Below are 26,833 nucleotides of genomic sequence, written 5' to 3' on the forward strand. Positions count from 1 at the left end.
ACCACACATTGTTCTAGGCATTTAAAATGCACTAAGTGGCCGGGCGCGGTGGCTTATGCCTGTAATCCAGCACTTTAGGACGGTGGCTTACGCCTGTAATCCAGCACTTTAGGAAGCCAAGGGGGGCGGATCACCTGAGGTCAGGAGTTAGAGACAGGCCTGGCCAACATGGTGAAACCCCATCCCTACAAAAAATACAAAAATTAGCGGGGTGTGGTGGCAGGCACCTGTAATCCCAGCTACTCAGGAAGCTGAGGCAGCAGAATCGCTTGAGTCTGGGAGGCGGGGGTTGCAGTGAGCCGAGATTGTGCCACTGCACTCCAGCCTGGGTGAAAGAGCAAGACTCCACCTTAAAAAAAAATGCACTAAGTAATTTTACTCTCACATAAAATTTTATCCAAATCTTTAGGGAAAGATGTTACTCATCTCCATTTTATATGAGGCACAGAGAGGTTAAGCGACTCACCCAAAGTTCCACAGCTAGTAAGTGGGAGAGCTAGGATTTGAACCCAAGCAGGCTGGCTCCAAGTCTATACTCTTACCCACTATACCACTGCCTCGCCTATTATATTAGTGATACATAAGAAGAGATGTGTCTGTAAAGGGGTTAGCACAGTGTCCGTAAACATTCAATCAGCATTCACTCTTCACTGTTTCCTTAGCTTTTCAGTAGACGGTGGAATTCTTGGGAATGAGGGTCTTGCTTTATGCATCTTATATTTACTGCTCTCAGGGCAAGGATGGGCAACAATAGTTTGTTGACTGAATACATGAATACAGAGGAGGAAACTGAGGTCAGAGTGGTTTCAAAGGCCTGCCCAAGGTCACCCAGCCAGTAAGTGTGGGGCAGGCCCTAGCTCCACATGGCTGTGGTCTTCATTCTGTCTCTCTGCCCAGCAAGCTCCTCATATAAAGCTGTTTTGCTTGCAGGCCAGAATTGAGGGTGTGGGGTAACTGGAAGAGTGAGCTGAGCTGAAGCTGGGGAGGAGGCCATGGCAAGTACTCACCATTGCCCCCGCTGCCTTCAAGATGCCAGTCGGACTCTGCTATGCCATGTCCAGAGCCTATGGAGAAGGGCAGGGTCCAGTTGGTGGGCATAGACACCCGTGGGTACTATGTCGAGCTCCGGGGCCCCAAGACAGAGATGAAGTGGAGAGAAGCCAGGCCTGGGTACCTTGTTGGCAGCGTGGGCCAGAGAAGCCAGGGAGGCAGAGGCAGCGGGTGCCCTGGCAGGTGCCCCCATGCAGACAGGGTTCACGGAGCTGGCAGGGGTTCTCCTCGTGCTCACACAGGTCTCCTGTGGGCCAGGGCAGAGGCGAGTGGGTGGGTGGGCATGGGCTGGAGGTGTCGCTGACCACCTGTGCCCCTCCCCTCCGGTGCCCTGGGCAGGCTTTCCCACCTTTGAATCCATCTCGACACAGGCACTGGAACTCATACTCGCCAGCGGGCATGCACGTGGCACCATGTTGGCAAGGCTGGCGCTCACATGGGGAGCTATCATAGCATTGCCCGATGCCCTGGCTGCCTAGGAAACTGTAGGTGAGGTCCAGCCGTTTGCCATTCACTGACACCTGTGGGGACAGGGACACCGAGGGACTAAAGGGGCCTGGGAGGCAGAGACCCAGGTGTACCAGCAGGGAGAAGAATGCAGCAGAGGGGAGCTGGGAGCCCACATTGGGCCCTGAGTGGTAGCATGGATTCTCGGTGTGGGGAGGGAGGCGCAGGAGTTGAGTGCCTACTGTGTGCTAGAAACATTCATCCGTCAGTGCAGACAATCCTCTGCCCAACCTTTCAAAGTAGGTGTGATCATGCCCATTTTACAGAGGAGGAAACTGAGGCTCAGAGGTACAGTGTCCTGGCCCAGGGCCCGTGGGTGGCTGCAGGTGGAGGGGCCCAATGCCAAGGTGCTTGGAGAGCCGAGGGGGACACAAGGCTTGGCACCCCTCCCCTCCCGCTTGTCCCGAGGAGGCTGCTCTTACCTCGCCCACACAGCCGCGGAAGTGAGCGCTCATGTTGGTGGCCGGGGACAGTGGCACGGAAGGCTCCACACCCCCCAGGTAGAGCAGGGTGTGCAGGTTGAGGCCCTGGCTCTTGCCGGGCGAGGAGCGCAGCACAGGGCGTCCACCATTCACCCGCAGGCTGCCGTCCTTGTTGAGACGCTCTGCAGACACACGGTGCCAGCGGCCCAGGGCCAGCGGCTCGGCGCTCCGCAGAACGGCCAGCCCTGGGGAGGATGCCAGGCAGGGTTGGGCACATGGGGGCACACGGGGCTCCCTGCCCTCTCCACCACAAACAGGGCCCTGAGCAGATGGGGAATGCCCTACAGCCTTCTGTATTCCAGATGAGGAGCCCATGGCTCAGAGAGGGCTAGGGATTGGCCTCAAGTGACACAGAGACGAAATGCACAGGAAGAGGGGACTTGCCCTGATCCCTGCATTTATCCTCCCATGCCTCCCTGGGGCTTGAAGAGCCGAGGGGGGCACAAGGCTTGGTGTGCAGAGCCCCGCATTTGGTGCTGGGTGCTTACCTGACCCCAACTCATAGCGGAACTCCAGGTGGCCGCCCACCATCGCCAGGGACACGAAGTCCTCCACAGGCCCGCTCTTCCCCCCGCTGAACAGCAGGACCCCGTCAGGGGCGAGTGGCTTGAACTCCACGTCCAGGCGTAGCTCGTGGTGTGTGTTGGTGAGGGCGGGCAGTGCCAGGTAGGAGCCAGCACCCGACAGCGAGGGGGTGGTCACTGTCACACCTGCAGCAGCCACAGCTCAGCTGAGGCAGTGGGGATCCTGGACCCTCGGGTGGGGTCCAGCTACTCTGCCTTCCTCTGGGACCCTTGCCTGCCTCACTCTCCAGGCCCAGAGGCTCAGGACCAGTTGGCACCAGCTGCAGTGGCACAGGAGCCCCCCTGCCCTTGCACACGGGGCTGGGAGGAGCTCCAATATGACAGGGGTCCTCTTTGGGGGCCCTCACTCAATAAGGGGCTCAGGCTGGGCAGACATGTGGCCAGGTGACTTCGAGATCCTCTGGCTTGGGAATCGTTTTATCATCCGTAGGGCCCATCATGGCCTCAGAGTGCCCCACCCAGCCTCCCCAGCTGACACTAGGACCCTGGGGGTCTCAGGCCTGGCTCCCCTCACCTTCCTCACACCGCAACCCCGAGCGGCCCAGGTGGCAGCGGCAGGTGTAGCCTCGACCGTCAGGCCGGTTCACACAGGTGGCGTCGGGCCCACAGGCCTCTGGGGGGCACATAGGCCAGTGAAAAGACACGGAGGTGACTCTGGAGGGAGGGGGGTCCTGATGCCAGAGGTCTGCCCATCACACCCCGGGGGGCTGGGCTAGTGAGGGCCAGGCCAGCCTCCTGGGAGGCCTTGGAGGAGGGAACTGAGCAGAGCAAGGCGGGAGCCAGAAGAGGCCACAGGGAGGACTGCAGGGGAAGCAGTCGAGGGACTCTGTGTGTCTGCAGGTTCTTCAGAGACTGGACAGTGTTGGAGGGGGAGCACCTGGTGGCGGGTAATGGGGTGGGCACCTGGGTAATAAGATGGGACTGGGGGCCGGGCGTGGGGGCTCATGCCTGTAATCCCAGCACTTTGGGAGGCCGAGGTGGGTGGATCACCTGAGGTCAGGAGTTCAAGACCAGCCATGGCCAACGTAGTGAAACCCCGCCTCTACTAAAAATGCAAAAAATTTAGCCAGGGGTGGTGGCAGACACTTGTATTCCCAGCTACTCAGGAGGCTGAGGCAGGAGAATCGCTTGAACCCGGGAGGTGGAAGTTGCAGTGAGCTGAGATCGTGCCACTGCACTCCAGCCTGGGCAACAAGAGCGAAACTTCGTCTCAAAAAAAAAAAAAAAAAAAAAAGATGGGCTGGGGGTGGGGGAGTGCCTGGGTGGCGGGGTAGTGGTAAGAATTTGGTCAGCAGGGCTGGAGGAGGGGAAGCAGCAGTGATGGGGTGAGGGCCTTCGGGTAGCAGAGATGGGGGATGGGTACATGGGAGGAGTGGAGAGTGCTCAGGTGAGAGTGGGGGGTGTGGAAGTGCCCCAGTGGTTGAGATGGTGGTGGATATGGGGAGGCAGCAAAGGGAAGAGGCAGGCCCTGGGGCGACAGCGACTGGCGGTCGGGGTGCGTACCTGGATGGCAGTGCAGGGCCTGCGAGTGCTCACAGCGGCTCCCGGTGAAGCCAGCTGGGCAGACGCACACGTAGCTGCTGCTCTCAGAGTCATGGCACTGACCGCCATTCTGCAAAGCAGCCCCCAGAAGTAAGGCCGAGAACATTCAGTACCCCCCATAATCCCCACAGGGGCCAGCCATGGCTAGGGGTGGAGGCCACGGCAGCCAGGTGGTGTGTGGGGTGTGGGGTCACCTGGCAGGGCCGGTCCCGACAGGTGGGGCAGTGGGAGATGCCGTGCGCCGTGAGGTTGAGGTCATGGAAGACGATCTCCTCGCCCTGGATGCGCAGCTCCCGGACACAGCCTGGGAGGTGAGTGGGCAGGATGAGCACAGGGCAGGGTGTCCCAGCCCATACCCTGAGGTGCCCTCCCAGGCTCTCCAGGGCTCTTCCAGCCAGCCAGGTAAGGCCCAGCCTCAGCTGGAGGTGGGGAGGGGGCTCACCTATGAAGCCGCTGCTCAGCCCCGCCTTGGGGATGGCACCATAGTCAGGATAGCCACCCAGGTAGAGTTCCTCGTTCAGATCCAGGCCCTGGAACTTGCCCTGGGGAGGTGGGGAAGTCAGGAATGGCAACAGAGGCTGGGCAAGGGCGGGATGAGGGCTGGAAGTAGCAGTATGGGGTTGGGTCTCACCTGGGAGGTCCCATTGACCGGGGCCAGGTCACCCACAATCAGGGAGCCCTGGGTGAGGCTGCGCAGCAGGGTCACGGTGTGGAAATGGCCCAGGGCCAGTGGTGTGGGATGGCGGATGGTGGCCATGCCTGAGCCTGCATCGAACCTGCTCCGTGGGGCAGGCCGGGGCAGGAGAGAGTGGATAGGGGGTTTGTAAGAAGGGCTAGGGGCCCAGTTGGGTAGAGGGGTCCCAGAGGAGGGATGTCACCACTTCCTGCAGTCCCAGCCCTGGGGCTGTTCCCGTTCCTGTCCCTGTCTTGTCGTCCCTCCCCGTGACCCATCCCCTGGATCTTCTCTCCCCACATCCTTTTGCTGGGAGCTTTCCCAGAGCAGCCCACAGGGACCCCAGGCTCAGCGCCCTGCAGCCTAGCACCTGGCCTCCTTGTTCCTCTGAGGACTCCTCTCTCCCTGTGATCACCTTGTTTCTCTGTTTATGGCTTGTTTATTCTTCCCCAGTGAGAATACACCTCTTCCCACAAGAGCCAGAATTTGGTCTGTTTTGTTTTACCTGTATCAGTGCCTGGCACACATGGGGTGGTCAGCAAATAACTGATGCATGCATGCATGAATGAATGAATGAATGAATGAATCCTGGCCTGCAGCAGTCCCAAGTCTGAGGTTGCACCCTCCTCCACCTGACTGGCATACTATTCCTACTCTAGCAGATTGGGTGGTCACCAAGGGTAACGGCCACATTTTCTCCTTCCTCCAGATCTCCTTTGTATAATGGAGCCCAGGGTAGCACTTGCCAGACCAAAGCCCTGTGTCCAGTCCCCCTGTAGGTGGGGAGGCTGGGGGTCTCACCGGAACTCGGGCCTTCCCCCCACGAGGCCGAAGGAGATGAAGTCGGGCTGCCGGTTGGCCAGGTTGGTGGGGCTCCCTGGGACTCGCTTCTGCCCATTGTACAGCAGCATCCCTGGGTGGGCACCACTGTGTAAGGGGCCCCCTTCCAGCCACAGGCTCCCTGTCCTCCCCCACCCTAGAAACCACCCAAGCTCTTGAGCCTGTCCACTCTCGGAACCTGTCCCTCCCTCTGGCACTCCTCACACAGCCAGGGCCTTCTCACTATCTCAGGGCTGGTGCCCCAAACGCAAGGGCCTTACTGAGCGCCCCTAGAAAGAAACTGAATTTGCTTCACACACACTGGAGTCTCCCTCAAGGGGGAGAGGGAGGCAGAGACTCACCCGAGTAGAGAAGGAGGCCTGGACAGTGAAAGTCAGAGACCCGTAAGAGACGAGAGAAAGAGAGGAGGAAAGGGTGAGATGGAGGCAGAGGAGGGAGGAAGGAGCAGAGATGGGGAAAGGAAGCTGGGACAGGAGGACTGGGGGTGATGCCCCGGTGGCAGAGGAGCCACGAGGAGGCTGGAGATATCACAGAGGCAGGGATGGAGAAGCCGGGAGGCACAAGAGAAGGCACACCAGGGTGGAGGCCCAGAGGTCTGGGGGCTTCTGGAGAGGGAGGGCTGAGGGATTGGGGCAGGACTGAGGGGCAGCCAGGGCTCCTGCCATGATGGCAGTTACTCCACGAGGTCCCTCAACCCAGGCCAGCCCACCCCGCAAATTAACCCTCCTGCTCACCATCGGCTGAGTCGGGCCGGAAGGTGATCTTGATCTCGAACTTCCTGTAGGCATCCTTGATGGTGGGCAGCGGTAGGAAGGAGTAGGGGGTCTGCGTGAAGTAGGGCACCACCCGCTCTGCCAGCAGAGAGCACAGCTGAAGACCCTGCCAGTCAGGGAGTGGGCAGGGCACTGCCAATTCTTAGGGGTGGTGTCTTACCTGGCACCTGCAGGTGGGCAAAGGCTTTGACCTTGCCCTGGCGGTTAGTGGCGGTGCAGACGTAGGTACCTGCGTCCTGGGGTCGGACTGAGGGCAGCATCAGCATGTTGTTCTCCAGGCGGCTGTCAGGTGGCAGGCTGCCATCCAGCTGCAAATGCACTAGCACTGAGGGCCCTGGCCTTGGCCCACGGCTCCAGGGGCCCACCTCCCATCTGTGCCTCAGGCCCACCTTCCAACATTGAGCGTTTGCTCTTGGCCAAGCCTGTGCCACATCCTGGGGACACTGAGACGCTTCAGATCTGTTCCCAGCCCCCAAGTCATGCCCGCTGGTTCCCTCTCCAGCACTTACCTTGCTCCAGCTGATGTCAGGAGTGGGGTAGCCTGAGGCTATGCAGGGGAAGACAGCTGCAGAACCAGCAGGCACACGGACTTCTTGGGGCATTGAGATCTGGGGCAAGGCTGAGAGGCATGGAAGAGACATAGGCCATCAACATGACAGTCACAGATATGTGCCCAGCCTGCACCCTGATTCATTTCATCTTCACACCACCCCTTGAAGGAAGCCACTACATTCCATTTCACAGATGAGGAAATTATGGCTCAGAGGGGAAAAGCGGCTGTTTGCTCCTGGTCGGGCAGAGTCAGGGTTCAGGGCCAGATCCATTTCACTCCACAGCCTGAGACCTCTTCAACATGCCTGGGCAAAAAATTGTGCAGCCCTTTGGGGACCTGAGAAGTGCACACTAGGGGCAGTATAGGTAAGGAAGTTTGGAGGCAAGTCACAGGGCTTGGGGTAAAAAGGAATTGCCTTTAAAGAACACACAGTGTTTGTGTCTGCCCTGCATCTGTTGTCCTTGTTTTACTCTCTATTAGGTCTGTTTGTTGACTGGGTTATGTCTCTGCCCTCAGACTATGCTGCAGGTCTCTCCCAGCAGAGCAGGCACTCCCTGCAGATGAGGACAAGGTTTCTTTTTTCTTCTTGATGCTCTATGGCCTAGCTCTCTCCCTGTACATTCCAGGCTGCCCTGGGGGAATCTCACTTTTATCCCCTGCTGCTGCCACCTGTTATGAAACCTGCCCCTTAAACACACACAATGGAAAATGTCCCAAGTGAACAGAAAGGAAGAGCAGAGCGGGCAGGCAGAAGATGGCAGCAGGAGAAGCCCCTGCCCCACTCACTGTCCCCCAACAAAAGTCCCCACTGGCCTTCACCTTGCACAAGCAGCAGGACGTGGGATTGTGTGGTGCCAGCTGCGTTGGTGGCAGTGCAGCGATACTGTCCCGCATCAGCCAGCTCTACGTGGGCGATCCTGACGACACCTCCGCTCTGCACAATGCCTGGCCGCAGGTGCCCTCCAACTTTGCTCCATGTCACCTGAGGCTTGGGGTCACCCAGTGCCAGGCATTCGAACTCCACGGCGTGGCCAACCACCACGGTCTGCACAGAGGTCCGGATGTTGATGAGCACCGAGGGCAGGGCTGGGGAGGAGGGAGGCAGAGGTCCAGTGAGATCAGTCACTGCAGGCCTGGCCCGAGGGAGGCCATAGACTGCCCAAGGAAAGGTGAGCACTGAAGCTCCAGCATTCATTCACTCCTCATTCACTTTTTCATGCATTCACTCACAAACACACTCACTTGTCAGGTCTTATGCATTTACTCACTCACGTGTCCACTTCTTTTTTTTTTTTAGACAAAGGGTCTTGGTTGTATTCACAGGTGTGATCACGGCTCACCACAGCCTAGAATTCATGCGCTCAAGCAATGCTCCCAGCTTAGCCTCCTGAGTAGGTGGGACTACAGGTGCGTTCCACCATGCCCGGTTCACACTGATTCAATCTTCATCGGTTCATCTGAGCACTCACACACTCCATCCATATCCTTCTTCCCTCCCTTGAAATATGTATCAAGCCCCTTTTACTCTATGCTAGACACAAGCAAGGCAAAATGGAATAATTCTCTTTATTCTGACACATTTAGGGGGATTCCTAGGGAACAGGGTCTGGGCCTTGTGCCTCTCTGCCTTTCTCATCTCTGTTCCCTGCTCTTAGCAGAGGCCTGAAGCCACCCTCCTACCTTGGATAACCAGCTGGGCACTGGCCTGGGCCTTCCCCCAAGGTCCATGGGCCTGGCATATATACGTCCCTTGGCAGCTCTGGTCCAAGTTCTGGATTCTATAAAGAAAAAATAATAAGACATCAGGGAGTTGAAAACAACTGATAGAATGCTTTGCAATTGGGCTGGGCGTGGTGGCTCACGCCTGTAATCCCAGCACTTTGGGAGGCTGAGGCAGGCGCATCACTTGAGATCAGGAGCTTGAGACCAGCCTGGCCAACATGGTGAAACCCTGTTTCTACTAAACATACAAAAATTAGCCAGGCGTGGTGGCACACGCCTGTAATCCCAGATACTTGGGAGACTGAGGCACGAGAAACGCTTGAACCCGGGAGGCGGAGGTTGCAGTAAGCCGAGATTGCGCCACTGCACTCCAGCGTGGGTGACAGAGTAAGATTCCATCTCAAAAAAAAAAAAAAAAAAAAGAATGCTTTGCAATTGTGTGGGCATTAAAAACTGATGTAGAACAGCACGCAGTGTTGCATTCTAGTTTCCCAATAACCACTAGAGGTAGGCAGGCAGGTTGGGGGGCACCACACTCATTTTAGACAAAGACCTTATGGTCTAGGGCTCAAGATTACACAGTTATCAAGTAGCAGAGCTGAGATCTGGGGTCATTTGTGTATTTCTGGCCCCAGGGCCTGTTCTCTTTCCTCCGCTAATAATAAATATGAATGGGCCACTGTTTACTGAAGGCCTTCCAAGCACCAAGCACTGTGCAAGTGCTTCAGACAATCTCCTTTCAGTCTTTTTTCTTTTTGAGATGGAGTTTTGCTCTTGTCACCCAGGTTGGAGTGCAATGGTGCGATCTTGGCTCACTGCAACTTCCGCCTCCTGGGTTCAAGTGATTCTCCTGCCTCAGCCTCCAGCGTAGTTGGGATTACAGGTGCCCACCACCACACCCAGTTAATTTTTTGTATTTTTAGTAGAGGCAGGGTTTCACCATGTTGGCCAGGCTGGTCTCAAACTCCTGACCTCAGGTGATCTGCCCGCCTCAGCCTCCCAAAGTGCTGGGATTACAGGCATGAGCCACCGTGCCTGGACCTCATTCAGTCTTATATAACCCACTGTACAGCTGAGAACACTGAGGCTCAGAGAGGTAAAGTGATGTGTCCAAGGACAGTGCTTCATGTTGCGCCCCCTGGGGCAGGTGCTTTAACTCTGCTCACTGTGAGCCCTGGGCTATGCTGCCCAAGTCCAGTCCTGCCCCCGGCCCCACTCACCGGAGCACCCCATCCTGCACGCTGTGACCCGGAGGCAGCTGACCCCCTTCCTTGAACCAACGGAGCTGGGTACCCCGGTCGCTGGGCACAGCACAGTGGAACTCAACGCTGGCCCCAATGCTCTTGGTCTCTAGCTGAGGCGTGACCTGCACGGTGGGCGTGGACCCTGCTGGGATGGAGGTGGCAGGGAGAGAGCCGGGAGGGCCTGCGGGGACATGTATGAGGTTCTGCAGGTATATGTGTGTGTGATGTCCCTGATGCCCCTCCAGGGACCCAGGAAACCCCCAGCCCAACATTCAAGGAATGTTCTCCTGATAGCCTCTCTGACCAGGGAAAAAAGACCGTTCAGTGGCAGATTCATTCATCTGCACACACAGCTGCCATTCCACCAACATGGATAAGGGCCTGTGGAGCGCTGGGCTCTGTTTCCACAGCTCCTCGCTTCTGGGTGGGGAGGGCAGGCCACGAAAAGAGTGGGAGGGACTCAATACTTTTTTTGAGACGGAGTCTCGCTCTGTTCCCAGGCTGGAGTGCAGTGGCACGATCTCAGCTCACTGCAACGTCCACCTCCCGGGTTCAAGCGATTCTCCTGCCTCAGCCTCCCGAGTAGCTGAGACTACAGGTGCGCCACCGTGCCTGGCTAATTTTTTTTTTTTTTTTGTATTTTAGTAGAGACGGGGTTTCACCATGTTGCCCAGGCTGGTCTCAAACTCCTGAGCTCAGGCAATCTGCCTGCCTCGGCCTCCCAAGGTGCTAGGATTACAGGCGTGAGCCACCGCGCCCGGCCATACTCAGACATTTTAAGGAAGGACAGCAAAGCCTATTCTGCCTGCAGTTTAAATAAGAGAATCCAGGGACTTGGCCATGGCAAAGACACCTACACATGCAGGGGACAGATGGGAGGCGGGGGCTGATGCATACTGTCCCCATTTACTAAGTGCCTACTGCGAGCCACAGTTTTACATCTGTGTTTACCTCTGTGTACCTTTCCAACTCAGCCTACATGGTTGGCATTGTTCTCTCCACTTTACAGATAAAGAAACTGAGGCTCAGGACGAGTGCAGTGGCTCACGCCGGTAATCCCAGCACTTTGGGAGGCTGAGGTGGGTGGATCACATGAGGTCAGGAGTTCGAGACCAGCCTGGCCAACATGGCGAATCCCCTTCTCTACTAAAAACACAAAAATTAGCCAAGCGTGGTGGCGCGTGCCTGTAGTGCCAGCTACTCGGGAGGCTGAGGCACGAGAAAGGCTTGAACTCGGGAGATGGAGGTTGCAGTGAACCGAGATCATGCCACTGCACTCCAGCCTGGGTGAAAGAGTGAGATTCTGTCTCAAAAAAAAAAAAAAAAAAAAAAAGAAAGAAACTGAGGCTCAAAAAGGTTCAGTGACTTGGCCAAGGTTGCACAGCCAGCAAATGGCCAAGCTGTGCTTTGAACCCAGGTCTGAGTCCACAGTCCAGGCTCTTGACCAGTGGGCTACATGCTGTGCTGCTTTAAGTTTGGGGCCCAAAAGCCCTCATTTGTATCATTGATGCAGGAGGCCATGGAAATGCTGGGCTCTCTGAAGATCCACTGAAGCCCTGGGCGTGCTGGGGTGGGTGCTCCTGTCACTCATTCACTGTTGTCCCTGTCAAGCATTTACCCAGCCCATCCTGGGCCTTGTTGCCCTCAATTAAGCCCAGGGCTGCTGAGATGCCTGGGTCCAGGCCCTGCCCTGAGCATTCTCACTGCCTGGCAGGGGAGGCAGGCTGGGGTGCTTATGTACACAGAATGGTTTCCTTTGGCAGTGCCAGGGCTGTGCCAAAGGTGGGGAGCAGCCGTGAGAGCTAGAGGAGCTGAGCACACATGATGGAGGGCTTCCTGGAGGTGGCAAGCCTGCCTCGGGCCCTGGAGAGTAGGGGAGATGAGGGCATTCCAGGTGGGGTTATGGAGGGAGGCCTTCCCACCCGAGTCTGCCTAGCTGGGTCATCAAAGGGCCAGGAGGAAAGGTGATCCCCTTCCACGCAGAGCCGGGGCTGCTTACCTTGGACGAGCAGCTGGGCAAAGGCCTCGGCTGAGCCCACCTTGTTGGTGACCCGGCAGCGGTAGCGGCCTGAGTCCTCAGGGGCTGCACGCTCAAAGTGCAGCAGCTCGTTCCTGGCGGTCGCCCTCCCAGGAAGGCTGCTGCCCACGCGGCTCCACTGGAAGGTGAGTGGGGGTGTCCCGTGAGCCAGGCACTGGAGCTGCACCGTCTCCCCTGCCTGCACCGAAGCGTGCTCTGGGACCGTGGTGGCATATGGTGGGCCTGAGTGGGGGGACACAGAGGTCAGGATTGGGGAGGGCAAAGGTCAGAATGGCAGCAGGTCGTTGGATCCAGTGTCCAGGGAAGCTGAATGGTGAGCCCAGAGGACTGGGGATAAGGAAAGCAAAGGTCCCAGGCCAGGGTGTGGGTGTCGGGCAGGGCAGGCTCCAGGACCCTGCAGCGCCTGGAGACCTCTGGATGGGGTTCCTGGGGTTCTGTGTGGGGTGGAGCCTAGTCGGGGGGCTCAGATCTCCATTTGGTGCAGACAAAGAAGGGATGAGGCCTTACTCTCCACGTGCAGGATGATGGTGGCCTCAGCGTGCCCAGCAGGGCTAGTGGCATTGCAGATGTACTGGCCCGAGTCCTGCTGGGCTACCCGGGGTATGATGAGTGTGTCACCTTCCAGCCGGTGCTGCCAGGGCAGTGGGGAACGCAGCTTGGACCAGTGGATGGTGGGCGCGGGGCTGCCTGTGGAGTCGAGTGGAAGATGACAGAAGTCACTGGGCTACCTCAGGGACCCGCAGAGGGTGGCCATGGTGAGGAAGGGCCCTGGGTGATCCTGTCCCTCTATGGGGACCCCAGTTGGGTTCCTCGGCCATCACTGGGGGATGCTAGCAACACGGTCTCCCCGTACTCCCCACCCCTGGGCATGACATCATCTCTAGATCACATGTGTCTACATTTCAGACCCCAGGGCATCCCTGCCCTGCCAGCCCTATGTGCCAGCCCTTGGTCACACCTGTGGCTGAGCAGCGCAAGGTGGCCGTGTGTCCAGCCTCCACAGTCAGCTCAGCTTCTTCAGCTTGGACCTGAGGGGCCCCTGGGGCCATGGCGCCCGTGTCCACGATCACCTCCACCTGCTTCTGTGCTGTGCCTAGTGCATTCTGAGCAAGGCACACATAAGTGCCCGCATCTGATGGTTTAGCTGATGAAATCTGGGAGAAAGCAAGGAGGCTGGTTATGTGGGGACTCAGTGGGGACGCTGATGTCAGCCCCAGCTCTGGCTTGGTCTTCCCTATTTCCTCTACCCTGCCTTGGTATCTATTTATTTACTTATTTATATATTTATTTTTTGAGACAGGGTCTTACTCTGTCGCACAGGTTGGAGTGCAGTGGCACCATCTGGCTCATTGCAACCTCTGCCTCCTGGGCTCAAGCAATCCTCTCGCCTCAGCCTCCTGAATAGCTGGGACTACAGGTATGTGCCACCACACTCAGCTAATTTTGTTTGTTTGTTTGTTTTTTGAGGGTCTTGCTCTGTCACCCAGGCTGCAGTGCTGTGGCACGATCTCTGCTCACTGAAAGCTCTACCTCCCAGGTTCACATCATTCTCCTGCCTCAGCCTCCTGAGTAGCTGGGACTATAGGCACCCGCCATCACGCCTGGCTAATTTTTTTGTATTTTTAGTAGAGACGGGGTTTCACCATGTTAGCCAGGATGGTCTCAATCTCCTGACCTTGTGATCCGCCCGCCTCAGCCTCCCAAATTGCTAGGATTACAGGTGTGAGCCACTGCACCCAGCCTAATTTTGTATTTTTAGTAGAGACGGGGTTTCACCATATTGGCCAGGGTGGTCTCGAACTCCTGACCTCAGGTGATCCACCCACTTTGGCCTCCCAGGCTGGTCTCAAACTCTTGGGCTCAAGTGATCTTCCTGCCTCAGCCTCTCCAAGTGCTGGGATTACAGGCACGTGCCACCATGCCTGGCCCTTTCCTTGGTTTTTAGCTGTCCCATCTGGTTGCTTGAGGGCTCACCCTCATGACACCCCATTAGTCCATCCATCCACTTGGCCTTCGACCCACCCTCCCACTCATTCTTTCTTCCTTCTCCTACCTTCCTTCTCTCTTCCCTCTCATCTTCCAGTCTATTCGTCATCCACCCATCCCATCCCATTCCTCCCTTCCTCTCTCCATCCACTCATCACCACCTGCCCATCCACTACTATCTCCTCCAAGCACCCGCTCAAGGCTGGGCCATGGACTGGGCCTCAGACCCAGAGAGGCAGCCCCGGCTTCACCTGCAGCACCGCGTGGCTGTCCATGAGCCCATATGTCCGCTGCTCCAACTTGGCAGGGGTGCTGCTGATCCGGGTCCAACGAGCAGAGGAGCGGGGCTCCCCGGCACTGACACACTCCAGGGTGACAGCCTTTCCCACTTTCACCCACACGGGGCCCTCGGGGAGCACGGACACTGTAGGGGGCCCTGTGCGGAGGAATGACAACCACTGACACACAGGCAGGGCTCTGCTGCTCACCCACACTGCCATGGCCTCCAGCTTAGTAACTGCTGGGTGGGCACCTGTCTCCCCACTGCACTGAGGTGGAAACTGAGGCTCAGAGAGGGAGAATGCCCAAGACAGAGTCAATGGTGGAAGGAGGATTTAAACTTGGAGGCTCTGAGCTGAGAATCAGGGCTGGAAACAGGGCAGAGCCCCACAGGGTCAACGTCCCCTCACCGTGCACACTGAGGTTCACCACACTCTGGGCCACACCGTAGGCATTGGAGGCCACGCAGCGGTAGGTACCGTGGTTGCTGGGCCGGGTGCCCACGATGGTGATGATGGAGCCATTGGGACTGATGTGGACGTTGTCTGTGAGGTTGCATGGGGGAGGGTGAGAGAGGATTGACCTGGTCCTTCTCGTGTCTTGGTGCTGCCAGCCTGTGCCCCTGGGCCCACTTCCCCAATCCCTCCGGCCTGGGTGTGTCTAGCTCATGGAGTCGCAGATAGCAGAAAGTAACAAAGGCCTTGGAAACTCCTGGGTCCAGCGCTCTTGCCATACAGAGACGGGAAGGGCCTTACTCAGGGCCACACCATGAATGTGGGGCGTCCAGACTTCTGCCCCACCCTTGCACAGTGGGGATGACGGCACCCCCATGCCTGCCCCCAGCTTGCCCACCTGCCCACCAGCCTGGCTCACCCTCCAGCTCCTGGTTCCGGGTCTTCCACTCGAGGCTGATGGGGGCTGCCCCGTCATGGATGAGGCACTTGAAGCTGGCATCCTGGCCCTGCTGCACGGTGCTGCTGGGCGGGTCGATGGAGATGACCGGGCTCCTAAGGCCTGGGGCCAAAGGGGCAGAGGGCTGGGCTCAGCAGGGGTGGGCTTAGCTTCAGGGCCCTCCCTTCCCCCCTTGCCCATGGCATCTGCCATACTCACGGTAGGAAGACCCCTCACTGGGCGGGACGGTGACTGTGAAGGAGGCTTCTTGCTCAGGGCCTGGGCCGCTGGCTGCACGACACACATACTCGCCTGAGTCGGCAGGGGAGACGAGGTGGAGCCGCAGCTGGGAGCCATGGGTCTGTCAGAGCAGCGAGGGGACAGTTATCAGGGCAAAGTCCCCAGGACAAGGAATGTCCCCAAGCCCAACTGTGCCGGTACCCAAGAGTTCTCTCGGAAGCTCAGGGTCTCAGCTGGTAGGGCTGGTGGAAGCTTCATTCACAGAATCCTAGAGGTCCAACCCACTCACTTTACAGTGGAGGAAACTGAGGCCCAGGAAAGGATTCAGCTGCAGAGCCAAGAGAAAAACCCAGGTCTCCTGATTTGCAGGCTGGTGAACTCGTCCCGCAAACGTATTTTATCCCCTGGGGTCCCCAAGCAGGCTGGTGTTTGCATGAGGTTTGGGTACAGAAAGCAACTGCAGGTCTAACCTTGCCTGACCTGGAATCCTCCCCATCCTGGCCCCTGTACCTGGTGCCGGGCGGGGAGGCTGCCCCCGCGCTTGTACCACGTGACCTGGGCATGGGCCTGCCCGGGCACCACACAGTTCAGATCCAGAGTCTGCCCTTCAGTCACGTGTGAAGAGGAGGCCTCGATGTAGATGGGCTGGGCCAGTCCTGGAGCTGTGGGCACAGGGGGTGGGTGAGAGAGGCCAGGCTCCGGGGATCAAGGCAGGGGCTGAAGGTGGTGGCAGTGAAGACCAGCTCCAGTTGATCCTGGGGGCGCGGTGGCTTGAGAGTGGCTGATATAACCTAAGAAGGGTCTCCTTTCCCTGGGGACTCAAGGGTCCTCCTGAAACTCAGGGCTGGGGTCCCCCTGGTTGAGGGGACGGGACCATTGTCAGACTTGGGAACACCTGGGTTGGCTTGATCCTCCGTGGTAGGAAACCCCGCCTGCAGGCAACAATAAGTGCCCGGCTGGGAGAGAGGAGAGGAGCAGAGCTGGGAAGGAGCCCCGCGCCTGTGCTCTGGCATCGCCCACTGCTCCCTATCACTCACCAGGAATGGGTCCTGGGCTGGAGGGCTCAATTGTGACCAGGACAGATGCCTCCAGGGTGCCTGAGCTTCCGGTCACTTGGCACGAGTACTCGCCAGAGTCAGCCGGGGACACCTGGTTCAGCCTCAGCAGTGGGCCGTGGACCTGGCCAAGGTGGGGTGAGAGCGGGGAGGGTGAGCTGGGAGCCTTCAGATGCCCAGGCCTCTGGTACCCACACCCTGGGACTGCCATGCACAGATATGTAGGCGCATCCTGTTGGAGGCGACCCCTTTGACAGTCCGCATTGTGGAGGGCATGTTTATTATGATGGTTTCTCCGGCAGGAGGAAGTCAAGAGCCTTGAGTAACAGGTGTCCTTTTCTTTTTTTTTTGAGACAGTGTCTCGCTCTGTCATCCAGGCTGGAGTGCAGTGGTGCAATCTCGGCTCACCGCAACCTCTGCCTCCTGGGTTCAAGTGATTCTCCTGCCTCAGCCTCCTGAGTAGCTGGGATTACAGGCATCTGCCACCATGCCTGGCCAATTTTTGTGTTTTTCGTTTCGCCATGTTGGCCGGGCTGGCTTTGAACTCCTGACCTCAAGTGATCCACCTGCCTCGGCCTCCCAAAGTGCTGGGATTATAGACATGAGCCACTGCGCCCAGCCAGAGATGTCCTTTTCTATTTTGCACCAAGGTGCTGTGGGGCTGGTGGTGGCCCTGCTGTGCCCAGCCCGCTCTCAACTTCCTGATTCCATTGACCTCCTGCTGCCATTTCCCACAAGCCCCAGTTGCTGAGGCCACTTTCCCTTCAACGCTGGATTCAGGCAGGACCACTGCAGGTGTGGAGGATGCATGCATCCTTCTCCAGCTCCTTTACCTGGTGCCGGGCAGGGAGGTTTCCTCCACGCTTGTGCCACGTGACCTGGGCGTGGGCCTGCCCGGGCACCACGCACTTCAGATCCAGGGTCTGCCCTTCTGCCACTCGGGAGGAGGAGGGCTCGATGCGGATGGGTGGGGCTCCACCTGGGGCTGGGGCACAGGGGAGAGGTCAGTGAGCTGAGATGCCACCCTGATGCCCTCAGCCCTTCCCCTGGGGCCCAGATACTAGGACCAGAGGCCATTTGGGACATGGCTTCTTTCCCTTCCCGTTCCATTGAGGCCTGGAGCAGCTGGGCTAGCCTGGGAGGTGGAGGCACTTCTCATTCCCCCAGCCCCGCCCCCAGGCAATGGCCCCACCATCTCCTCCTCCTCCCATGCTCCCAGCACCAGTGGGGCCAGGGCTGAGGTCTAGACACTTCCACACAGACCACTAGACCACTAATGTTTGGCAGACTCAGATAGAATGTGGCTAAGAACCCAGACTCTGGGGCCAGACTGCCTGGGTTCAAATCCCAGCTCTGCCATTGATTAGTTGTATGACCTTTGGAAAACAACTTCACCTCTCTGAGTCTCAGTTTCCCCATCTGTAAAATGGAGAGAACAATGCCATCTACCTCAAAGGGCTGTTGTGAGGATAAAATGAACTAATATGTGTAAATATGATAGGGTCCAACACCTAAGAAGTGCTGGATCATGTTTACTGCTTAGCAATCTGTGTCCCCTTATCATGATTTCTGCATAGCATGTGCCCCCTGTGCTATTAATTACTGGACATTTTCCTTTCAACTGATTCACTTTAAAAAAGCCTTAACTACACACTGGGCGCGGTGGCTCACGCCTGTAATCCCAGCACTTTGGGAGGCCGGGCTGGGCGGATCATGAGGTCAGGAGTTCGAGACCAGCCTGACCAACATGGTGAAACCCCGTCTCTACTAAAAATACAAAAATTAGCTGGGCGTGGTGGAGCACACCTGTAATCCCAGCTACTCAGGAGGCTGAGGCAGGAGAATCGCTTGAACCCCAGAGGTGGAGATTGCAGTGAGCCGAGGTCATGCCACTGCACTCCAGCCTGGGCGACAGAGCAAGACTCCGTCTCAAAACAAAACAAAACAAAAAAAACCTTAACTACTTAGCCCCATTGTAAGCAAAGATTTCCAAGAAATAAGGACAGGCTTGATGTGTTTTTTTGTCCCTTATATGCCACCAGTACTAATAAAGATGTTTATTTATTTATTTATTTATTTTTGGAGACAGAGTCTCACTTTGTTGCCCAGGCTGGAGTGCAGTGGTGCAATCTTGGCTCACTGCAACCTCTGCCTCCTGGGTTCAAGTGATTCTTGTGCTTCAGCCTCTCGAGTAGTTAGGACTAACGGTAGGCGCCACCACACCCAGGTAATTTTTTGTATTTTTAGTAGAGATGGGGTTTCACCATGTTACCCAGACTGGTCTCGAACTCATGAGCTCAGGCAATCTGCCCACCTCGGCCTCCCAAAGTGCTGGGATTCAGGTGGGAGCTACCACACCGGCTCTAATAAAGATGTGTAAATCACCCTCCAATACTCGCAGAGGTGCAGTCCCAGGCTTTTGGGAACTCTATAATTAGATAGTAGAGTACAAGAGTACTACTACCCCTTCTTTACAGATAAGGGACAGTGACAGGTGGAAAGCTGAGGTCCCTTGTGCAACATCTCCAAGTGTGGCCAGAGGAACTGGGACTCATGCACAGATGAGCATAGTCCAAAGCCTATGCTCGCAAGCCGTGGAGAGGGACAGGAACCACTCCACCTGAGCCGGCTCCTTGGTCCTGGGACCGTGTGGGTGGCGGGAGGTGAAGTCTGGAATCAGAGCGGCAGTTCTCGCCGAGTGCCAGAAAGTGTTTCCTTCTGCCAGTTCTGCCCCCTGGTCTCTGTCCCTTCCTCCCTCCCCCGGCCTTCCCGTCCCACTGCAGGGACCCTCACCGGGGACGTGGACAGCACTTGAGCCAGAGGCTTCGATGGTGACCAGGACTGAGGCCTCCAGGGGGCCAGAGCTGCCCATCACCCGGCACACGTATTCACCCGAGTCGGCCGGGGACACATGGTGCAGCCGCAGCCGTGAGCCGCGGGTCTGAATAGGGGACAGGACAGAGGAACAGAGTCAGGTGCCAGTCTGGAACTGTTGAAGGCCTGGGGCCAGGGTCTAACCTCTGACACAGGGGGGTACTGCACCCCACGGGGGCTCCTAGGTCTCCCTCTTGGCAAAGCTAGCCAGGGCCCCCACATCCAGCGGCTCTCCCACCATTTCCTGCCAGCTGCATACCTGATGGTGACTGGGGAGGCTGCCCCCACGCTTGTGCCAAGTGACCTGGGCATGGGCCTGCCCGGGGACCACGCAGTTCAGATCCAGGGTCTCCCCTTCGGCCACGTGTGAGGAGGATGACTCAATTCTGATGGGCATGGAGCTGCCAGGGGCTGGGGGAACAGAGATCAGTGAGTCGGCACAGCCGTTGTCAGATTTGGGAACAGGGTTGGTGGGACCCTCTGCCATAGAAAATCTCACCCCCCAGAGTAACACTAATAGTTAACACTTGGCCGGGCATGGTGGCTCATGCCTGTAATCCCAGCACTTTGGGAGGCTGAGGTGGGTGGATGACCTGAGGTCAGGAGTTTGAGACTAGCCTGACCAATATGGTGAAATCCTGTCTCTACTAAAAATACAAAAATTAGCCGGGCACGGTGGCATGTGCCTGTAGTCTCAGCTACTCGGGAAGCTGAGACAGGAGAATCGCTTGAACCTGGAAGGCGGAAGTTGCAGTGAGTTGAGATCGCGCCACTGCACTCCAGCCTGGGTGACAGAGCGAGACTCCCTCTCAAAAAAAAAAAAATGATAATAATAGTTAACACTTATAAAGCACTTCTGGCATGCCAGGCACGCTCTAAGCACATTACATGCACTAACTCACTTAACCCTCACAAAATTCGTAAACTTCCTGTGATGATGGAAATGCTTTTTATCTGCACAGGCCAAGTCAGTGGCTGCAAGCCACACGTGGCTATTGAGAATTTGAAATGTTAGAAATGGGGTAGCCGTAGCCACTGAACCCACGCATCTTTCCGCTGGCCCTTGCCTGAGTACCACCAGGTCTGAGGACTCTGACCTGAAAGTTCCTTCTCCCCAGGGAACACTGTTGCCTGCATCCCTCGTCCCTTTCCTAGGCAGACTCACCGGAGGGGCTGCCGGCGCTAGGGGAGACGGAGATGACGATGGAGGCCTCCAGGGCATCGATGTTGTTGTTGGCCCGGCACACATACTCGCCCGAGTCAGCCACAGACATTTGGTGCAACCGCAGGTGGGAGCCATGGGTCTGGACGTGCGGATGGGGAAGGAGAGGGAGAGGGAGTGGAGGGACGCTGGGGTCACCAGCTGGCTCAGGCCTTCCTGCTCAGCCTGTTGAGGCTGCTATCGGTCTACCCAGGGCCCAATCCGTGAGACAGGGAGCCTGCTCTGCTCACCCCAGGAGACCATGGTTCCACCCCCGCTGCTGTGGCTCCACTCTGTACCTGGTGTCGGGAGGGAAGGCTGCCCCCACGCTTGTACCATGTGATGATAGCCTGGGGCTGCCTGGCGACCACGCAGTTCAGATCCAAGGTCTGCCCTTCCACCACCGTGGGGGAAGACGACTCGATCCTGATCGGTGGGGAGACGCTGGGCACTGGGGACAGACGGGTGTGGACCACGCAGCCAGAGTGAGATAACAGTGATGGCACCGGGGACCTCTCTGCCACCCTCTGCGCCACTTGTCTGTACCCCCTGCCCTCTCTGCTCTCACCGTGGGAGGAACCGCTGCCCTGGATGGTGACGATGAGCGAGGTCTCCCGGGAGCCTGCACCGTTACTGACGTGACACACGTACTCGCCCGAGTCTGCCGGAGTCACCTGAGGGATCCGCAGCCGGGAGCCCACGATCTGCAGGAAGCAGATGGCAGGAGGTATGGCAGTAGGTGTGGGCAGCTCCTCCACATCTTGGGCACTGCTGCCGCTGCCCCTGGACTCTGGGGGCCTCCCTGCCTTGCCTCCTCAGTGGCCTTCGTGAAGCTCCCAGCATGGCATGTGGCCTGTCTCTGGGCTGGGGTGGACGTCTAGCCTTTTGTCACCCCTCCAGAAAGCCTGTTAAGGCCCTCCGGAGTGTTGACACAGTATCCTGCTGGGGCTCCCACAGCCTGCGAGCTGCCTGAGAGCAGGCAACTGTCTCATTCCATCTGGAATCTTCAGTGTCAGGCACAGGACATGGCCCGGAGCAGCTTTTCAGTGAGATTTGGTGCAGAAGTGGATCTCCCTGAGGTCAGGGAGCCTTATTTCTGTATTCTCAGCACTGGTCTAGGACCCATCCAGCAAGGATACTCAATGTTTGTTGAATGACTGAATGAGCACAGAGTGAGGTGCTGAGAGTCCCCCCTCTTCCCATTGGGGGCTGGTGTGCCCTGCTTTTGCCCTCCCCACCTGCTGGCCCTGTACCTGGTGCCGGCTGGGTAAGCTGCCTCCACGCTTATACCAGGTGATGGTGTGGGGAGCCTGGCTGGCAACCAGGCAGTTGAGGTCCAGGGTGTGTCCATTGGCCAGGGAGGCTGAGGAGGACTCGATGCGGACGGGGTACGCCACACCCTGGGCTGGGAGGGTGAGATGTAAGGCAGGGTGTGGGAGCTGCTGAGGGTGCAGTCGGGGTCCCCCAGCCCTCCACCATTTGCATGACCCCCGAGACACTCACAGTGGGAGCCACTAAGGCGCTGCTGGATGGTGACAAGGACTGAGGCTTCCTGGGTACCTGAGCTGCCGACCACACGGCACACGTACTCCCCTGAATCAGCTGGGGTCACCTGGAGCAGGCGTAGCCTCGAGCCATGCACCTGGGAGGGTCAGGAGGGAGGAGGCAGGCTCAGAGCTGGGCACTGCGGCTCACGCCAAGCTCCTGTTCCCTTCCCTGGTGCCACTCCCAGCCCAGCCAGCTGGAACTCGATGGAAACTCTTCCAGGGAAAACCACCTTCTCCCTTCCTATCTACCGCCCCAGTGTCAGGACTGGGTCTAGCGTCCCACCTCACCCATGCCAGGGACGACTGAGACTTGGCACCAGAGAAAAGTGGGGACCAGTGTTTGTTGACATGCTACAGGGGAGATGAGGTAGGCAGCATGAGCCCATTTGGCCCCTCACTCTGACCCCCAAGGCCTGGCCATCAGCTCTGGATCACTGTCCCTGTCCTTCACATGGGGAAGGGGGACTCTTGTCCAGCAGCGGGGTGGTAGACCAGAGGAGCCCCAGTGAGCTGGGTACACACTCACACCACATCCCATCAATTCTAGACACACATTTCAGTGTCTCCAAAATCAAGATGCATCTACAATGAATAACCTTACAAATGGAAGCTTTTTCTTAGAGGTACATAAAATCATAGGACACTGAGGGTCAGAGAATCAAGTGACAAGTGACTGGCCTAAAGTCACACAGCATGCAAGTAGCGGAACAGTGTCTGAACTCGAACATGCCTGAGTTCAAAGCCTGTGGTTTTTTTTTTTTGAGACGGAGTCTTGCTCTGTCGCCCAGGCTGGAGTGCAACGGCACGATCTCGGCTCACTGCAACCTCCGCCTCCTGGGTTCAGGCGATTCTCCTGCCTCAGCCTCCCGAGTAGCTGGGATTACAGGCGCGCACCACCACGCCCGGCTAATTTGTGGATTTTCAGTAGAGATGGGGTTTCATTATGTTGGTCAGGCTGGTCTCAAACTCCTGACCTCGTGATCTTCCTGCCTTGGCCTCCCAAAGTGCCGGGATTACAGGCGTGAGCCACTGCGCCCGGTCAAGCCTATGCTCTTGTACTGCAGCTACAGGGTCCTTCAGGCTTCCTGAGCTCCTGCCTCCTACCTGGTGCCGGGCCGGGAGGCTGCCCCCGCGCTTGTGCCACGTGACCTGGGCATGGGCCTGACCAGCAACGAGGCAGTTCAGGTCCAGGGTCTGCCCCTCGGCCACTTGCGAAGACGATGACTCGATCCGGACCGTGGGGGTGACCCCAAGTGCTGGGGACAGAGGGCAAAGGGTCAATAGCCGGCTAGGAGGTGAGATGAGATGGGGCTCCTGGTCTCAAGGCAGGTGCAGTCTGCGGCTTGGCCTCCTGATCCTGCCGTTGCAAGAGTGGGGGGCCTCCCACCCTGGGTCCCCAGCCCTGCCCTCCCTGAGAGCTACTCACCAGGCACTGAGCCCGCAGGCTCAATGGTGACCAGGACAGAGGCCTCTAGAGGCACGGAGCTGCCCAACACTCGGCACACGTACTCGCCCGAGTCGGCGGGGGACGCTTGGTAGAGTCTCAGCAGGGAGCCGTGGGTCTGGCCAGAATGGGGGTGAGTCAGAGGGAGCCCTCAGGAGACCCCTGTTCCTATAACCTGCAACCCTGCCTCACTCTGACCCCCAAGGCCTGGCCATCAGCTCTGGATCAGTTTCCCTGTCCTTCACATGGGGAAGGGGGACTCTTGTCCAGCAGCGGGGTGGTAGACCAGAGGAGCCCCAGTGAGCTGGGTACACACTCACACCACATCCCATCAATTCTAGACACACATTTCGATGTCTCCAAAATCAAGATGCATCTACAATGAATAACCTTACAAATAGAAGCTTTTTCTTAGAGGTACATAAAATCATAGCGGATCTCGCAATCAGTGGTATCCTAAATTCTACAAAATATGGTAACAACAATAGCTAATGGCATTATAGTAAAATATTAACAGCTTAGAGTACTTTCTGTGAGCCTAAGCTCTGAGGATTTTGCATATATTTTAATCTTTAAGATAATTCTGTGAGGTACTTTTTTTTTTTTTTTTGAGACTGAGTCTCGCTCTGTTGCCCAGGCTGGAGTGCAATGGCGTGATCTTGGCTCACTGCAGCCTCCGCCTCCTGGGTTCAAGCGATTCTCCTGCCTCAGCTTCCCGAGTAGCTGGGATTACAGGCGCCTGCCACTATGCCCGGCTAATTTTTATATTTTTAATAGAGATGGGGTTTCACCATACTGGCCAGGCTGGTCTCGAACTCCCGACCTCAGGCGATTCGCCCACCTCGGCCTCCCAAAGTGCTGGGATTACAGGCGTAAGCCACCGTGCCCGGCTGGTACGTACCATTGTTACCATTTTATAGGCCCTGAAACTATAGCACAGAGAGGTTAAGTAACTTGTCCGAGGTCACAAGCTAAGTGGTGGAGCCAGAATTCACACCCAGGTTAGTCAGTCCTAGATTCTGGTTTCTAACCACTGCACTATACATCTGTGCAATGGGGTCCAGGGCTTCCTGATCTCAGGGGAGCCTCTAGCCCTCCCCCAATAACCTCCGCCACCCAGGGACCCGCTTCCTCTTCTTGGCCTGTCTGTCCTCCAGTCCCATACCTGGTGCCGGACAGGGAGGCTGCCCCCACGCTTGTGCCACGTGACCTGGGCATGGGACTGCCCGGGCACCACGCAGTTCAGATCCAGGGTCTGCCCTTCCGCCACTTGCGAGGAGGAGGGCTCGATGCGGATGGGCTGGGTGCTGCCGGCAGCTGAGGGATAAGATGGTCACCGGTCACTCCTGTTCTCTGAAGCCACTCCAGCCTGTTCTCTGCATCCCAGCCCAGCCTGGTGGCCCCACTCACGGTAGGCTAAGTTGGCCCCCTGGGTCCCAGTTACTGTGACCGTGATGGAGGCCTCCATGCCGTTGCTGGCCCGGCAGACGTACTGTCCCGCATCGGCAGGTGAGGCCTGGAAGATGTACAGGCGGGAGCCACGAACCTGGGCAGCCGTGGGCAGAGGTGTGAGGGGGGCTTCCCGGAGGCCAGCAAATGCCCCACCGCTGTCCCCCCGATCTAGGAAGTGCCAGCCCCTCAGCCTAGGGGCCAGGATCCTGCAACCCACTGTCCATGGCCCCGTCCCACATTCTTGGTGCCCTGTACCTGGTGCCGGGCAGGGAGGCTGCCCCCACGCTTGTACCATGTGACCTGGGCGTGGGCCTGCCCTGCCACCACGCAGCTCAGATCCAGGGTCTGGCCCTCGGCCACTGTGGAGGATGAAGACTCGATCCTGACAGGTGGGATGGGTCCTGCAGCAGTGGGGATGGGAGTGAGAGTTGTAGATGCTCCTGAGATGAGAGGGCAGGGGTTGCCCACCCTGCAGCTAGCTCAGCCCAGGGTTTCAAGGCCAGATCCAGCTTTTCAGGCATCTGGGGGCCTGGACTTGATGCCCTCAGCTCAGCAACCCTGATGGGAGGACCAGGGCATGGGCCACGCCTTGCAGAGGGGAGTGAGGAAGTGAGAGAGATGAGGGCAGAGATGAGTTGGAGAGAGGAAGAGGAGGTGGGAGGGGACGCCTGAGGAGTCATGTGGCCAAAGCAAAGTGTGACGGGAAGGCGGTGGTTACTCTGACAGGTGGAGTCGGCCTGGGCAGGGCCCTGCAGCCAGCTCCGGTGTGGGCCTTCTGCCCTGTCAGCAAGAGGGGTCCCTTGGATCTCACCACCCCGGAGGCCTCTCTGCCTCCTCCAGCTTTCCATGTCACTGGGAGTCACTCACCAGGGATGACAGAGGCTTCGATGGTGACCAGGACTGAGGCCTCTAGGGGGCCGGAGGTGCCCACCACATGGCACACATACTCGCCTGAGTCGGCCGGGGTCACCTGGTGCAGCCGCAGCAGCGAGCCGTGGGTCTGTGTGCAAATGGGGTGGGTTGGGAGGGGGCTGGAACAGTCCCATCCAGCCCCTCCAGCAAGGTGGTCCCGGGGGGCTGCCATACCTGGTGCCGGGCAGGGAGGCTGCCCCCACGCTTGTGCCACGTGACCTGGGCGTGGGCCTGCCCGGGCACCACGCAGTTCAGATCCAGGGTCTGCCCTTCCGCCACGTGTGAGGAGGAGGGCTCGATGCGGATGGGCCGGGTGCTGCCGGGCACTGGACACAGAGCGGCTGCTCAGAGGCCTGAACTCTTGGGCTGTAACCTGTAGCCCTGGGGCAGAAGGCTCTGGGCTGTGACCAGGCCCTAGTGGGGACGGCCGACAGGTGGCCTTTCTGGGACTAGGGCCACACCCTTCTGCCTCCACATGGCCAGCCGAATATGGCTTCTTCCCTCCCCAGCCTCTAACCACAAGCTGGAGGCCCATTGACCCACCCATGACTTCTTGATGATGAGCTCCTCTGGCCCATAGGGAACCAGCAAGCTTTACTACCCAGGCTGCGCCCAAGGATGCGGATGACAGTGAGACACCTCCCTTCTACAGGACGTCTTCCGTGTGCTCACAAGTACTTTCCATAGACACTGTCTCATTTAAACCACACCATGACTGGCCAGGCGCGGTGGCTCATGCCTATAATCCCAGCACTTTGGGAGGCTGAGACGGTCGGATCACGAGGTCAGGAGATCGAGACCATCCTGGCTAACACGGTGAAACCCCGTCTCTACTAAAAAAAATACAAAAAATTAGCCGGCCTGGTGGCGGGTGTGCCTGTAGTCCTAGCTACTCAGAAGGCTGAGGCAGGAGAATGGTGTGAACCCGGAAGGCGGAGCTTGCA

General features: G+C 57.9%; 1 protein-coding gene across 9 annotated transcripts in view, besides 5 other annotated features; it reads right to left on the reverse strand.

Annotated features, from left to right (window-relative positions):
- The window catches only part of HSPG2 (heparan sulfate proteoglycan 2), a 115,067-nt gene that overhangs the window by 4,612 nt on the left and 83,622 nt on the right, over positions 1-26,833 (reverse strand). For all 9 annotated transcript variants that reach the window (NM_005529.7, XM_047419090.1, NM_001291860.2 and 6 more), the window contains 41 exons: positions 26,064-26,215; positions 25,845-25,977; positions 25,233-25,378; positions 24,936-25,071; positions 24,691-24,842; positions 23,508-23,643; positions 23,186-23,337; positions 22,038-22,176; positions 21,788-21,939; positions 21,103-21,238; positions 20,834-20,985; positions 20,499-20,637; positions 19,593-19,744; positions 19,253-19,400; positions 17,293-17,444; positions 16,442-16,583; positions 15,915-16,066; positions 15,384-15,525; positions 15,147-15,287; positions 14,684-14,818; positions 14,246-14,430; positions 12,967-13,162; positions 12,516-12,695; positions 11,970-12,230; positions 9,947-10,151; positions 8,685-8,782; positions 7,824-8,090; positions 6,961-7,070; positions 6,612-6,759; positions 6,413-6,529; positions 5,640-5,751; positions 4,797-4,941; positions 4,608-4,707; positions 4,360-4,469; positions 4,127-4,235; positions 3,138-3,236; positions 2,528-2,749; positions 1,980-2,224; positions 1,400-1,571; positions 1,175-1,297; positions 1,008-1,064 (listed from right to left, as the gene is read on the reverse strand). In NM_005529.7, the coding sequence (NP_005520.4) occupies positions 1,008-1,064; positions 1,175-1,297; positions 1,400-1,571; positions 1,980-2,224; positions 2,528-2,749; positions 3,138-3,236; positions 4,127-4,235; positions 4,360-4,469; positions 4,608-4,707; positions 4,797-4,941; positions 5,640-5,751; positions 6,413-6,529; positions 6,612-6,759; positions 6,961-7,070; positions 7,824-8,090; positions 8,685-8,782; positions 9,947-10,151; positions 11,970-12,230; positions 12,516-12,695; positions 12,967-13,162; positions 14,246-14,430; positions 14,684-14,818; positions 15,147-15,287; positions 15,384-15,525; positions 15,915-16,066; positions 16,442-16,583; positions 17,293-17,444; positions 19,253-19,400; positions 19,593-19,744; positions 20,499-20,637; positions 20,834-20,985; positions 21,103-21,238; positions 21,788-21,939; positions 22,038-22,176; positions 23,186-23,337; positions 23,508-23,643; positions 24,691-24,842; positions 24,936-25,071; positions 25,233-25,378; positions 25,845-25,977; positions 26,064-26,215 (6,150 nt within the window). The remainder of the gene's footprint in view (positions 1-1,007; positions 1,065-1,174; positions 1,298-1,399; positions 1,572-1,979; positions 2,225-2,527; positions 2,750-3,137; positions 3,237-4,126; positions 4,236-4,359; positions 4,470-4,607; positions 4,708-4,796; positions 4,942-5,639; positions 5,752-6,412; positions 6,530-6,611; positions 6,760-6,960; positions 7,071-7,823; positions 8,091-8,684; positions 8,783-9,946; positions 10,152-11,969; positions 12,231-12,515; positions 12,696-12,966; positions 13,163-14,245; positions 14,431-14,683; positions 14,819-15,146; positions 15,288-15,383; positions 15,526-15,914; positions 16,067-16,441; positions 16,584-17,292; positions 17,445-19,252; positions 19,401-19,592; positions 19,745-20,498; positions 20,638-20,833; positions 20,986-21,102; positions 21,239-21,787; positions 21,940-22,037; positions 22,177-23,185; positions 23,338-23,507; positions 23,644-24,690; positions 24,843-24,935; positions 25,072-25,232; positions 25,379-25,844; positions 25,978-26,063; positions 26,216-26,833) is intronic.
- Positions 14,874-15,374: an enhancer, noted in NCBI's record as "H3K4me1 hESC enhancer chr1:22168222-22168722 (GRCh37/hg19 assembly coordinates)". NCBI's record gives its function as "activates a minimal SCP1, AML or CMV promoter by ChIP-STARR-seq in primed H9 embryonic stem cells {active_cell/tissue: H9 hESC(primed)}" and the evidence as "EXISTENCE:reporter gene assay evidence [ECO:0000049][PMID:30033119]".
- Positions 16,846-17,346: an enhancer, noted in NCBI's record as "H3K4me1 hESC enhancer chr1:22170194-22170694 (GRCh37/hg19 assembly coordinates)". NCBI's record gives its function as "activates a minimal SCP1, AML or CMV promoter by ChIP-STARR-seq in primed H9 embryonic stem cells {active_cell/tissue: H9 hESC(primed)}" and the evidence as "EXISTENCE:reporter gene assay evidence [ECO:0000049][PMID:30033119]".
- Positions 21,534-22,034: an enhancer, noted in NCBI's record as "H3K4me1 hESC enhancer chr1:22174882-22175382 (GRCh37/hg19 assembly coordinates)". NCBI's record gives its function as "activates a minimal SCP1, AML or CMV promoter by ChIP-STARR-seq in primed H9 embryonic stem cells {active_cell/tissue: H9 hESC(primed)}" and the evidence as "EXISTENCE:reporter gene assay evidence [ECO:0000049][PMID:30033119]".
- Positions 22,035-22,535: an enhancer, noted in NCBI's record as "H3K4me1 hESC enhancer chr1:22175383-22175883 (GRCh37/hg19 assembly coordinates)". NCBI's record gives its function as "activates a minimal SCP1, AML or CMV promoter by ChIP-STARR-seq in primed H9 embryonic stem cells {active_cell/tissue: H9 hESC(primed)}" and the evidence as "EXISTENCE:reporter gene assay evidence [ECO:0000049][PMID:30033119]".
- Positions 25,061-26,260: an enhancer, noted in NCBI's record as "CDK7 strongly-dependent group 2 enhancer chr1:22178409-22179608 (GRCh37/hg19 assembly coordinates)". NCBI's record gives its function as "activates an origin of replication core promoter dependent on BRD2, BRD4, P300/CBP, MED14 and CDK7 cofactors, with strong dependence on CDK7, by STARR-seq in HCT116 cells {active_cell/tissue: HCT116}" and the evidence as "EXISTENCE:reporter gene assay evidence [ECO:0000049][PMID:35650434]".

The sequence above is a fragment of the Homo sapiens genome, chromosome 1 (genome assembly GCF_000001405.40).
Source record: "Homo sapiens chromosome 1, GRCh38.p14 Primary Assembly".
NCBI classification, from domain to species: Eukaryota; Metazoa; Chordata; class Mammalia; order Primates; family Hominidae; genus Homo; species Homo sapiens.